The sequence below is a fragment of the Homo sapiens genome, chromosome 21 (genome assembly GCF_000001405.40).
Source record: "Homo sapiens chromosome 21, GRCh38.p14 Primary Assembly".
Taxonomy (NCBI): domain Eukaryota; kingdom Metazoa; phylum Chordata; class Mammalia; order Primates; family Hominidae; genus Homo; species Homo sapiens.
The window spans coordinates 35370173-35383748 of record NC_000021.9 but is presented as its reverse complement, the minus strand read 5'-3'; the positions used below and the strand labels follow the sequence as shown (position 1 = coordinate 35383748).

Here is a 13576-nt window from a genome sequence, read left to right as displayed (position 1 = left end):
GTTGTGAGCAGGGCTATCAGTGAAGGGGAAGGTACCCTGGAACACAATGAAAGATGAAGACTGGAATAGGGAGAGGAGAGAAGATGAGACTTCTGTTAAAAAAGAAGAGATTGCTGGGAAGACAAGTGGAGAGAAACTGAGAGAGACCACTCCAGCTCAGAGTGGCCAAACATGTGTGCATGGTGGATCCCAACTCCTGGTAGGAAAAAGAATTTGTAATGCCTGTCCAATGTCCTTTGTTGGATAAAGTTTCTACAGAAAACCATGTGATCAGGTATGATATTTTGGATTTGTCATTCTGTAATGCAGTCAACTTGGGGGATGTGGGGGATGGATGGAACTTGAATTTGCAATGCATTTAATGGGCTATTGGACATTTTGTCAACTTAAGGTGCCTGGATTTGAGTTTCACTTGGTGGTATTGTATGGAACTGCGTAGGTCAAACCAATTTCAATTTCAAATATTAACATAACTAGAAGCGCCTTGTGTCTTAATTAGGGGTCATCAACTCCCTTGTAAAGTGGTCCTTGTCAGGACTGCCCGTGGTAATTTGGGGAGCTCAGTGAAGCTTAAAATGAAGGATTTGATAGTCAATGTTTTTAGTCATATTGTTTTGTTCTCCAGCAAATAATGGGTAGCTCGTACTCCAATTAGAGCAGTATTCAAATAATTTTATATTTGCATATTTGAACTGACCGTCTTCAGGAAGGAGAGGCCAGGCCAAGCAGCTCTCCAATTATTTAGAGCAATTAGAAGAGATGATCAGACACTTCTGAGGTCTCATTAGCAGGCATGTTGCCTGCTCTGACATCTCCAAGATCACAGCCGCGACTGGGTGCTGGCGGCCCACATTCTTCTCTTTCGGAAGAGTTCTGCAGACAGTGACTCACTTCGAGTTCAACAATGGTAGCTATTTTCACAGCTGATTTCTGCTTTCCATTGGAAAAGTCATACATTACTGCTTTTTCTCTAAAATATACATTATAAACACCAATGTCTTTTTCTATTTAATAGCTCTCTCATTTTTGCTTTAGATCTAAATCCATCATCATCTTGTTACTTAATATCAGGCCACAGTGATTTCCCAGAAATACAACTTTGTACCTAGGAAACTGACTTTTGGGAAGTGAGGTACCCAGATTTCAACTTTTGTGTTCATTCAACTATAATCACCTTTTTCACTGATAAGCACTTTTTTTTTTTTTTTAAGGCAGAGTTTTGCTCTCATCACCCAGGCTGGAGTACACTGGCATGATCTTGGCTCACTGCAACCTCCGCCTCCCGGGTTCCAGCGATTCTCCTGCCTCAGCCTCTGAGTAGCTGGGATTACAGCCACCTGCCACCACGCCTGGCTAATTTGTTTGTATTTTTAGTAGAGACGGGGTTTCTCCATGTTGGCCGGGCTGGTCTTGAACCACTGACCTCAAGTGATCCGCCCGCCTCAGTCTCCCAAAGTGCTGGGATTACAGGTGTGAGCCACTGCGCCGGGCACACTGATAAGCACTTTAAGCATGGATCAGAGTTTTGGTAGTAGACGTCCTCCAGTTGGCAGAAAAAAGCTGTTAGCTCTCTGTTGATGACCGCACTTGGTGTCACTTTCCAAAGTAGGGATTTCCTTTATAATGACACCTAAGCCTCCCATTCTGGTATAGTTACCAAGCTACCCCAAGACAACTGAGCAAACAATTCAGAGTGATGGTTTTCATTTCCTTGTATCCTGCTTCAGCAAGCCCAGCCCTGCCTCACATTTCTTGTAATCCCAAACTTAAAGATATTCCTGCATTGCAAAATCCAGATTTTTAAATCAGAGCAAGACAATCATTCTTAGCATTTTCTGAGTTCCATTTTTGCTTACCGTATTGAGCCTAGGTAAAGTGGATAGAGAATCTGGTTTAGATAAGACTCTGTGTTTACTAATTTACTAATGTTGAACTTGTCATGCATCACTGCTCACAATCTTATCTCTCTTAATCTGGTCTGCAAAATAGCAATAATGATACCTATATTACCTGTCCTTTATCCAGTTGCTCTAAGATCCAAAGGAGATGATGTTCGTAAAATAGTTTTGGAAATGATGAATAGATCATGTGCTTTTTCATACATGCAGAGAATTCTTGATCTGTTTCCAAAATTTTATAATATATGGAATTCAAGTTGACATTGCTTAGTGGTTCAGAGCATGAATTCTGGAGCCCGCCTGCCCAGGTTTGAATCCTGGCTTTGTCATTTACTAGCTATGTGACCTTGGGACATTATGTAACCCCTCTATTCCTCAGTTTCCTCCTCTGTAGCATTGGAATAATAATAGGATCTACGTCGTAGGGTTTTATGAAGATCAGAAGAATAAAAGATACAGAGCCACACCCAGCACAATAAATGCAATACAAATATCAGTTAAATAAAAATTATCTTTCTTGAGAGGCCTGAGAGAGTTGGGCTGGGGGCCTTGGGTTTAATGTTAGCTGCTGCTAGCTTTCCTCAGGCATCACTCTTTTAAACCAGGTCGCAGCTCTGCCATGTTTTTGTGCTCACAGGTTAATTTTTAAGCAAGAAGTTTTGCTAGGGTAGCCTGACTTTAGATGTATTAAACTCAGAATAATATGTCATATTTCATTTTAAGGGTACATGAGGCAGCTTAGCACAGGTCTTGGGCAAGTGATATAAGCTCTCTCCAAGCCCCCAGTTCGGCCTACCTTTGGGAGTTGGGAAGACAGACAATGGAAAGGATTTTATATATATATATATATAAAAATTAATATATATAAATATATATTTTTATATATTATATAATATATAATATATATTAATATAGAGATATATATATCTCTATATATTTATAGAGATATAAATATATATATATTATATAATATATAAATATAATATATATATTATACATATATAATTTATATATATAATTAATATATATTTAATACTTTAAGTTCTGGGATACATGTGCAGAATGTGCAGGTTTATTACATAGGTATACACATGCCATGGTGGTTTGCTGCACTCATCAACCCATCATCTACATTAGGTATTTCTCCTAATGTTATCCCTCCCCTAGCCCCTCATCCAGCAACAGGTCCCGGTGTGTGATGTTCCCCTCCCTGTGTCCATGTGTTTTCATTGTTCAACTCCCACTTATGAGTGAGAATATGTGGTATTTGGTTTTCCTATGTTAGTTTACTGAAGATGATGGTTTCCAGCTTTATCCATATCCTGCAAAGGACATGAACTCATCCTTTTCTATGGCTGCATAGTATTCCATGGTGTATAGGTGCCACATTTTTTAAGCCCGCAAGCCACCTTAAAAATGTCTTGAAGATTCTGTGAAACTTGGCTTCATCCAGTTATCGTACCCTTTGTCTAACACCAAGTAATGCCTGACAAGAGTTTGACCAGCATGGTAGCCTGAAGATGAAGTATCATTTAACTGGAATAATAATAATATTTTTGCCAGGTAAAACATAGGATGCCCAGTTAAATGTGTATTTCAGATAAATGGCAAATAATGTTTTGCATAGCGGTGTCTCAAACATTTCATGGGACCTAGTTATATTACAAATATTTACTGTTCATCTGAAATTCGAATTTAACTGGGAATTTTGTATTTTTATTTGCTAAAACTGGCAACCTTTGATAATAGGATTTACCTCAGAGGATTTGGTGATTAAATAAAGTTATACAAGTAGCATGCCCAGAAGAGTCTTCACATGTAATATGTGTTTAATCAATGGAGGTATCTCTTAAGTAAATGGAAAACAATTTCCCGGTTCCGTAATGATTGCTGGGAGTTGACCATGCTAGACCATGCTAAATTTTGCATATTCAAAATAATCCAGCATTCAGCTGAATATTTCCCCGTTTCTGTCTGCTTTTTAGTTAGCTCCTGTCTTTCAAGTTATTTAAGAATGCTTATAGGCTAGGTGTGGTGGTTTACACCTGTATTCCAGTGCTTTGGGAGACTGCGCTGGGAGGAGAGCTTGAGGCCAGGAGTTCAATACCAGCCTGGGAAACATAGTGAGATCTTATTTCTACAAAAAATAAAAAAAAATTAACAGGGCATGGTAGTGAGCACTGCAGTCCCAGCTACTTGGGAGGCCAAGGCAGGAGGATCTCTTGAGCCCAGAAGTTTGAGGTTATAGTGAGCTATGATTATACCACTGCACTCCAGCCTGGGTGACAAAGCGAGATCCTGTCTTTAAAAATATTTAAATAAAATAAAAAATATATTTTTAAAAAAGAATACTTATAATTTCGTTATCTCCATTTCCACATTATATTGTAGATGCTTAGTAAATGTTTAAAAAATAGTCTGTGTTAAGCTTTGAAAAAACAAACATCCAGCCCAATCCTTTTTCCTCTTTTTGTTACTGAAAACATGGCTTATTAAGTTTTGAAGACTCTCTCTTTCCCAATCAGTAACTTCTACCCTCTCAATTCCTTCTACAATGACATAATCCAGCCTTTCATACCATCAGGCCCACTGTAAGAACTGATCCTGATACCAGGTACTTTGTATCCAGGAATGGAATCACACAGTGAATGGGTGGAGTTAGGCATAGCTTAGGTCTACTTTGGGTGCCCAAATGGTGAAGAATTGGCTTTTAATTGAGGAAGCCTTTCATCTGTAGACTGAGGCCTAAGGGAAAACACTCAGCAGGTTCTCTATGCCTCTTTGTGAAGACCCGGAATCTCATGACAAATGACCAGGGACTGAAGCCCCAGCCAAACAGCTAACCTTGTCCTGAAGGATAAGTCACACTGTGTGAGGATCATCTGAGGACTCTCCTAAGGAAGAGGAATGGACATGTAAGATCCTGGTCTACTGCATCACTCTATTCTATGCTCAGGTCTTACTAAAAGAGAACAACAAGGACAAGGCAATAGATACGGCTGCTGATCATTGGTCTGGTCCTCTGTCCCTGTGATGAATTCTTTATTGCTCACTCTAATTATCTCATCATCATTGTTTCTCATTGATGTGCTCCCTCTTGCTCTCCTTCTCATTTGTCCCCTGCCGCCACCCGGCCGCAAGACTGTAAAACTGTAAAACAAGATATTGGATATGGAGGAGTGACTGGTATGAAATGCACCTTTGAGTGTAACTTCCAGGAGTCCCTAAGAATCAAGTCCGTGCCACAAAATACAGTAGCTATTACTAGACAAGCAGCTCTCATAGATTGCTTTAATGAAGCTGATTTTTCATACACCTACTTCAGCTTTCAGAAGTTTTCCTGGAGGTTTGACTGCTTATGCATTGTTTCTCACTACTGGAGAATTTCTGATGTTTTCATTTGTTTGTCCTTTGAGCAGAGAACCAGCAATTGGATAACAAAAGTATCTCCTTTTAAGCACATTCAGTCTTTTGGAAAAATATTTAGAGCTTTCTTAAATATAATAACACATAATAAAAATGATCAGCCTGTAAAGCTACAAGTCCTCTCTGGCCTTTTGTGGTTGTTTTGTCTGCCTCCAGTCATTGCACTATCCTGCCATCACTTTCTTGCAGGGAAAAGACTTCCAAAAGTCTTATTTGCCACCTGGTCCCAGAGACTTCCCCAGTGTGTACCCAGTGGATGCAAGTGAGAACACCGCTTTTGGGGTCCTAAGCATGTGGGTCACAGTAGTTTGTGGGAACAATGTGTAATAAAAGTCTTCTACATTGATCAACTTTTGATATTTACGTTGGTTGGTAATGAGAGAAAGCTCATGTATGAGAGATAGGCATGGTTGGGAGTTTAGGTTCTTTTTGAATTCGTTCATATGGGTCCTTAGGCAAACCTGTTCCCTCTTGCGACATATGTTTTCATCCCGTGGAGCAAGACCAGCCTACCACAAAATGTGTGATGAATATTTTATTTCTGAACCTAACTACATGATTTTGTATGGAATAAAAACATAAGAAATTCATTGTCCGATGTTGTAGATGCTTTTTTATTGGCATCAATTGTCAGAGGTGTAATAATTGCAAGCATCCATATCACAGGAAATTCCAGAGAAGTGAGAAAGACTTAGAATAATAGAATTTTAATGCAGGGAGGAAGCTTAGCGATCACTCTGGCTGTGAACTGCATCTCCAAGGAGGAACTCACATCTTGGGACAGCCAAGGTGACACAGTAAGCTGGGGAGGGGCAGGAGAACTGGGACCAGACCCGGGGGTCTGCTCTCCTAAGCCCATGCTCTTCAACTGTGGCTCTGCAGAAATGTATGTGTTTTTTGTTTTTACTGAATTGAATGTCTGAATGAACTCCAATTCATTTGCAAAAAATGCCAAGAAAAATGTTGAGTTTGTTTTTTTAAATATCCAGAATTAAAAATGTGTGTTGCAGAGAATAACACCCTTTTAAGAATATATTATTAAACAGGATCACGGGAAGGCCTTTAAGGTATTAATGAGTGGATTTCACAGGAAGCAAACCATCATATATGATATAGTTACATTTTACATTTTATATCTTTGGAACTCAACTATAATTGAAGGCACTGATTGCACTTATAAGTGAATATTCTTTCTGCCCTCAATGTGTTTTCTGAGATAGGTGTATTTGTTCCAGTGTACTATATTTGTTGATTTTATTAAAGATTCTATTATAATAAAATTTAAATATTCACATTTCTGTATATAAAATGAAAGTGTAATATTTATTATATAATTATAATAAAACAAAAACAAACCAACACTGAAAGGATGGGGATCCACAATTTTACTTTCTTATTGTTCTAGCCTGTTAGGAAGTCTGTTGTTTATAAATTGTGGTTTCTGAAATAACCCTCATTTTTTTGCTACCACTCTGAAGTTCAGTGTTAATTTTTTAGCATCAGCTGTCATCCTTCCCATCACAGTCACCACTGGTAGTTATAAAGCAATTTCAGTTCTATCCATTAGCCAAGAAAAGAGATACTTATTCATAAAATACTTGGAAATTGTCAGAAAAATACAGAAATGGGCAGCATTGAGAGTGGATCGGTACTGGAATCCGTGCTATGAGTAAAGAAATTTGAAGTTAGAAGCATGTGTTAGAGAAATCTGTGGAGGACAACGAAAAAAATTAAAAATAGAACTACCAGTGGAAGCAATCCCACTTCTGGGTATTTATCCAAAATCATCAAAATCAAGACCTCAGAGAGATATTTGCTCTCCCGTGTTCATTGCATCACTACTCACAATAGCCAAGGTATAGAGATAACCTAAATGTCCATTGCTGAAAGAGTGGAAGGAAGCCGGGCGTGGTGGCTCATGCCTGTAATTCCAGAACTTTGGGAGGTCGAGATGGGTGGATCACCTGAGGTCAGGAGTTTGAGACTAGCCTGGCCAACATGGTGAAACCTCATCTCTACTAAAAATACAAAGATTAGCTGGATGTGGTGGTGTGCACTTGTAGTTTCAGCTACTTAGGAGGCTGAGGCAGGAGAATTGCTTGAACCCAGTAGGCAGAGGTTTCAGTGAGCCGAGATCATACCACTACTCTCCAGCCTGGGTTGACAGAGTGAGGCTCTATCTCACAAAAAAAAAAAAAAAAATGGATAAAGAAAATATGGTATATTCATACAATAGAATATTATTCAGCCTGAACAAAAAAGGAAACCATGAAATATGCAGCAGAATGGATGAACCTGGATGACACTGTGTTTAGTGAAATAAGCCAGTTACAGAAAGACAAATGTAGCATGAGGCATCTAAAATAGTCAAACTCACAGGAGCGAGAGTAGAAAGGTGGTTGCCGGGGGTTGAGAGTGGGAGGAAATTGATGTGTTGCTATTCAAAGGGCATAAAGTTGCAGTTAGGCAAGACGAGCAAGTTCTATAGATCTGCGGTACAACGTTGTACCTATAGATAACAATACTGTGTTGTACACTTAGACATTTCTTAAGTGGGCAGATCTCATGTTAAGTGTTCTTACCATAATTTTTTTAAAAAGTGATATGGAGGACCCAAAATACATCAGGCACTGCTTGTCTGTAAGCCACTGGAGAATGCCGTTGGCCTGTTTTCTGTCTTTAGTCCCAGCAGTAACCCCTCTATCATAGACATCATTTACCATGAAAAATGTGAACCCTAGAGAGAGTAAGTACTTTGCCCCAACTTATGCAACTGGAAGCATTAGACTTCATATTAGAGCTAATGATGAGGTCATCCCTGGGTGTGAAGGGTAGTGAGATCCTCCATCCTTGGGGGATGGTTAACCATCTACATCTTCTGTCCCATCTTCCAAAGCCAGAAAGAATCCATGGCTTAGGGATTCTCTGGTCAAAGGCTGACTTCACTGAAAAAGAAGAAGATTCAGATCAGTCTGTGCTGGGTGAAGTGACTCCAGAAATATGACGCAACTTATGCATTATGGGGAGCACACACCAAGGGGCCAGGCATCCAGGAGTGCCAAGACACTGTCCAGGCAGAAGATGAGCTTTCCCTTACATGGCTAGGTATGAATCAGACTCCAGCAATCCAGGCAGCTGTAACAGGAAGGCAAGTCTTCCTCCAATTCTGAAATAATTAGTAGTCACCATTAGGAATGTTGAGGCCAGTTAGTGTGTTCCTGTCTTCTAGACTTATCTACAGGGATCAGAAACATAGCCCTGACTGAATGGACCTCTGTCAACAGTGTAAAAGTCCTCTCTCATTCCTTGTCTAAATAGGCCTAATTCTTAGAGATCCCATAGATATCATAAAACTTATCTTTTCTAATAGGCAAGAGGAATATCACAATGCTAATTGCCTCTTTAAAAAAAAAGAAGTTCTGATTTGAAACCTGATAAACCTCTCAAGTAATGATTGGGTCATGTTTACCTAATTCTTATGCATCGGTGAGTGTCTAAAAGAAATCATTATTAAACCTAGCTTGCTGACTGCTTTCACTAAGTGTTAAATAATAAATAATGCATTTCTACTTCAATTAATCTACTTAGACATCTCACAGGCCAAATGCCTTGGTGGAGATGTTCTAATCTACAGAATCAATCCCCGGCATGACTCTGCCTCTTGACATTTGGAGCTCCCTAACACAGAGCTCTTAATTCCATATACAAGGTAAATGGATAATTTAGATGACCGAGTTCTGCCATTGTGCTCAGACTGATAAATAAGAGAAGGCACTGTAATGACAACTTGCAAATCTACTCAAGGCAAAATTTGGAATGAATCTTCACTCCCATCCATATGAGGCAATTTTTTCTTAATTTCATATGCTTGTACATTTTTCACCTTAACATGAAGGTGTGCGTGTGTGTCTAAGACTTTTGTAGAAGTGCTACGCATATTGTTTCCTTACTATGGGGTTTATTAAATGATCCAAATTCTAGTCTTATTAGGACTGCTTAAAAAGTATTAGCAGAAAGTCTGAGTATTCAAGATAACAAAAAAGTGTTTATGTAATATTAACTGTTATTTTGATATTTCCTTCTGATTCTCGTCTATGTAAATAAATATCTTATACAGTTGAAACCATAGTATACATGTCATTTTCTAACACTTTTTGATAATCATTATGTTGAAAGTGTTTCCATGTGACAGGAGCTTTAATAATTATAAATGTTAATATTAAGAATAATACCATGACTCATCTAAAAATGTACAGTGATTTAACACTCTTATTAATTTTGGAAGTTTCATTTGCTTCTCTATTTTTGTTATTAATTTCATAAATAATACTGACGTGAACATCTTTGTGCATAGAGGTTTTCTTTTTTCCTTTCTTTTGAGGTCAATGGTCTAAAGACATATAGTACAATTGCCACATGTAAATATATAGATTCACTCGATGCTTCCCAGGATTAGACATGATCACTGTGCAAAATATGTGATAATACAATAAACAGAAAGTTACTGTTTTTTTAAATGCATACTTTTAATTAATAGTGAGATTGAGACTTTTCCATTTCTGTGTTCACTAATTCTATGTTATCTTCTGCTTCTGCATATCATTAGGCTATGTATCTGTTGGCATCACTGCTTTATCATTTTAGGAGATTTCATCAAAATTTTGCAGGATTTGTAACCACATATAAGAGGAGTGGAGGATTAAAGGCAATCAATCAAAAGTATGGGTAATTGGTGTGCATTTCATATGCTGCTAATCTCAAGGAGTTAAAAACACACATCCTTTTAAAAATAGGAGCTAGAAAGTCCCCTGGAGGCAACATCTTTCTTCATTTGTTCCATACTTTGCATAGCATACTTCCTGGAGGACCCCTTTGTAAATTGTTGTGCCGTTGACTCAGATACTTTTTTCCAAGTTATCTCTGCTCACCCAGAGTACCCACCCTCGCCAAATATCGCACTCATTGTCATGCTTGAGAATGTCATCCATCACTTCTTGGTGGAGTTTGTAGGCCCTTGTTTATGCTGTGTCTTGTTCTGCCTACACCTCTGTTGTGGCTCCCCTCACCTTGTAATGACTTATTTATGCTTCAGTTTGTGCAACGGGCTGCGAGCCACTGTGAGAGCACAGGGGGTGGGGGGCTGTGCATTTTCATCTCCATGTCCTCAGTATACAGAATGGTGCCAGGAAGGGACTGAGTGCTCCATAAGTGCATGGAGGTACTCAACTCAGGCTTTCAGGTGCTCAATAAATGATTGTGGGTGATAAATGAATGGAATTAAATTGAGGGATTAATTTTTATATCAGTATGCTATATTGATATGTAATCCATATATTAAAAGCACAATTTTTATATTAATAGTTAATATAATTATATAAATTATATAATTAAGTATAATATATAATTATACAATGCAATTTATAATTTATATATGATATCAAAATGGTATATTGATATGTATTCAATATATTAAAAGCCCATTTTTATATGAATATTTAATACAATTAATCATATAAATTATATAGTTAATTATAATATATGCTTATATAAATATATAAGATAAATAATAATTATTACATAATTATTAATTATATAAATTATATGAATCCTATCACATTGTCTTCTTCCTAGGGTCTAAATCAACGTCTGGTTATGAAGGGCCTAGAGCCAGATAGGAGCTTCTTACAGCTTTTGGCAGTTTCTGGTGGAGGCCAGCTCTCCTTGTCATCTACCTTGGCCTGAGAAGCCTGTTCCCCTCTGCAGAGGATGAGCTCAGGGCTACACCTTTCCTTCCAGGCTCTCATGGTGTGGTCCAGGCTCCATTTCTTTCTCTTTGAACCTCACTTCAACATGATTAGAGTGACTGAAGGTAAAGAAATAGGAACTGTTTTACCGTAAATAAATTAGTCCCTGCTACACTTTTTCTCTGTGTTGTTTCATCACATGTACTCACCTCAAAGGTCTTTTCAGCCCTTCACACCCCTGTGAGTTGCATTAAGCAATGTCACAGTGCTGCAAAACGCTTAGAAATATGTGTGTGCGTCACACAGAACTGTCCAGCCTTCAGAAGGAAAGGACCGAACATCTTTGTGCGTCTCCCTGTGGGAAAACAAAGATAGAAACTCAAATGGGCTCATTCTTTGCCTACATAAATATGTTTATCAGATGCAATTAGACAGCAGAGAGAATGGAGTCCAGTGTGTTGGTGGAAAAGCTGAGAAAAGTCCATGAGGTTTTTGAAGACTGAGGTTTTCCATTTTGTTGTTCAGAGAAAACTAGATTGGATGCCTTGAAAGAAATTAAGATATTCTAGTTTACACTTTTCTTTGATATCATGAATTTTGATAGAACAATTGTTCTTGGACAAGGTTTTTCTTAACAGGCAATCTAAAAATTTCCCAGTGGGGCCTTTACTTAAATGAAGGAGATTTGAAGAGCAAAAACATAGCTATAACTGATTTTCAAAATTATATAACTATAGGATTTAGAACCATTCAGCCTTCTGAAACGCTTACAGTCATGATCTAAGGGCGTGACTATGACTTTGATAGGGAGGTAAATAACAAAGCCAGTGTTGTCCTGGCCAGGAAGCCGTAGAGGTAAGCCACTTTGTCTTTACATCTAAGCACCCTGCCCTGCACCCGGTTCAGTAAGTAGTGATGTCGAGTCTTGCCCCAGTTTATCTCCCAGGGATATTAGAATAAACACATTTGGAAACTAAAGATGCCGTGTAAACACAGTAAATTTATCCCTATTTTTGTTTAACATCTTAAGGGCTAGAATTTCCAGCTGTCTCTTCACACAAACTTCTTGCTGAGAGAGGGGGCGAGGGTACTTGAATTCAGAGATGTTGATTTTTGCCCCAAATACAGCATTTTTGAACTACAGATTCTTACTAATACAGGGTAAATACACCTCATTAAGCGGGTGACTTTTACAGCAGGAGGGCTACAGTTTCACCTGGGAAACCACACATGGATTGAGTGTCCTGATACAGCAGTGAGACGTCCTCTGTTCTGTGCATTCTGTAACTACACACTGAGACGCCATCTCTGACAGGTAAAAGTGCTGCTGCTTGTGGTGGCAATGGATAGTCACACTGTAGAATTTTTTTTTAAATGCAAGTGAAGTTTGCCAAGTAAACACCTCTTTTCAAAAATTAGAACTTAGATTGAAACTCATTTATGAAAGAATCACATGGCTGTGTCAACAGCTTAGAAGAAATTCATTTTTTTTTTTTAACTTTTCCTATTACCCAGATAGGCAAAAATAAATTCTGGATCATCCACTGAAGTTTCCAAGTGGTTTCCCTGAACCAGGGTTTCTAAATAGCAGCACTATCAACATTTTGCTCCTGATCATTCTTTGTTGTTGGGGCTGTTCTGTGCACTGTAGCAGAAACCCTGGCCCTTCGGAAGCCAAAATCACCCGTGGTTAAAATATCACTGTTCTAAACTAAACCAAAGCAAACAAATATTGAGCAAGATACCTGGGACCCTGGCCTCAGTTTCCACTTTGTCACCCCTTGGTCCTTTATTGTCCCTTTCCATACCTGTAAAATGGGCGCAGTGCCATCTGCTTCATTCATTCACCCCGTGGCATGTGTCAGAATCATTGAAACAGGGCCTGGCATGCTGGAGATGATTGATAGATATTTGTTAAATAAATGATGAATGAATGTATGAGGGAATGGATTGAAGAATTTGAGCACACAATTTGGAGATCTCTAAGGAAGACAGTATCCTCCTTTCATGGGTTCCCCCTGCAGCCCAGGGGCCTCCAGGTGTGTTTCTGTGTCTGTTCTCACAGTGTGGATGGAAGGTGGGAAACGTGCCCACGCTCTTGTGTGTCTGTTATTCTTAAGCACTCAATCCCTATTGCACAACTGAAAGCTTTATCCCCTAACGGGATAATCCCAGTAGTGTATGTATGTGTTTTTGTTGTTGGCTAATATTTTTGTTTTTGTTTTTCATTTTGTCAAAATGTCAGATGTCAAACTAGACTCATACCATGGCAAAGCGCGTGCAAAACGAGAATACTGCATTGTATTATTCTGTTCAACCATAGCCCTCTCTAAAAGTTTACATCCCTTTCTTCTGATTCTAAGTGGGATTCATCATGTTCCTTTACTTTAGTTTCCTCCCACATATCCCCACCCTCCACCCACAACAAAGGCTTAACCTATAAGTAAACATACATGCATATATATAACAAAAACTCATCCTTAGCTCATTTAGTTTGTTGTAAGTGAC

At 38.6% G+C, this 13576-nt stretch overlaps 1 long non-coding RNA gene across 1 annotated transcript in view, besides 2 other annotated features; it reads left to right on the top strand.

Moving 5' to 3' along the window:
- Positions 1 to 11242, top strand: part of LOC100506403 (uncharacterized) — a 208258-nt gene extending 197016 nt beyond the window's left edge. Inside the window, exon 3 of the long non-coding RNA NR_073512.1 lies at positions 10956 to 11242. This is a non-coding gene — a long non-coding RNA (uncharacterized LOC100506403). The remainder of the gene's footprint in view (positions 1 to 10955) is intronic.
- Positions 5924 to 6218: a silencer, noted in NCBI's record as "tiled region #14404; K562 Repressive non-DNase unmatched - State 23:Low". NCBI's record gives its function as "represses a minimal TATA promoter and a strong SV40 promoter by Sharpr-MPRA in K562 cells {active_cell/tissue: K562}" and the evidence as "EXISTENCE:reporter gene assay evidence [ECO:0000049][PMID:27701403]".
- Positions 12083 to 12584: an enhancer, noted in NCBI's record as "NANOG hESC enhancer chr21:36743463-36743964 (GRCh37/hg19 assembly coordinates)". NCBI's record gives its function as "activates a minimal SCP1, AML or CMV promoter by ChIP-STARR-seq in primed H9 embryonic stem cells {active_cell/tissue: H9 hESC(primed)}" and the evidence as "EXISTENCE:reporter gene assay evidence [ECO:0000049][PMID:30033119]".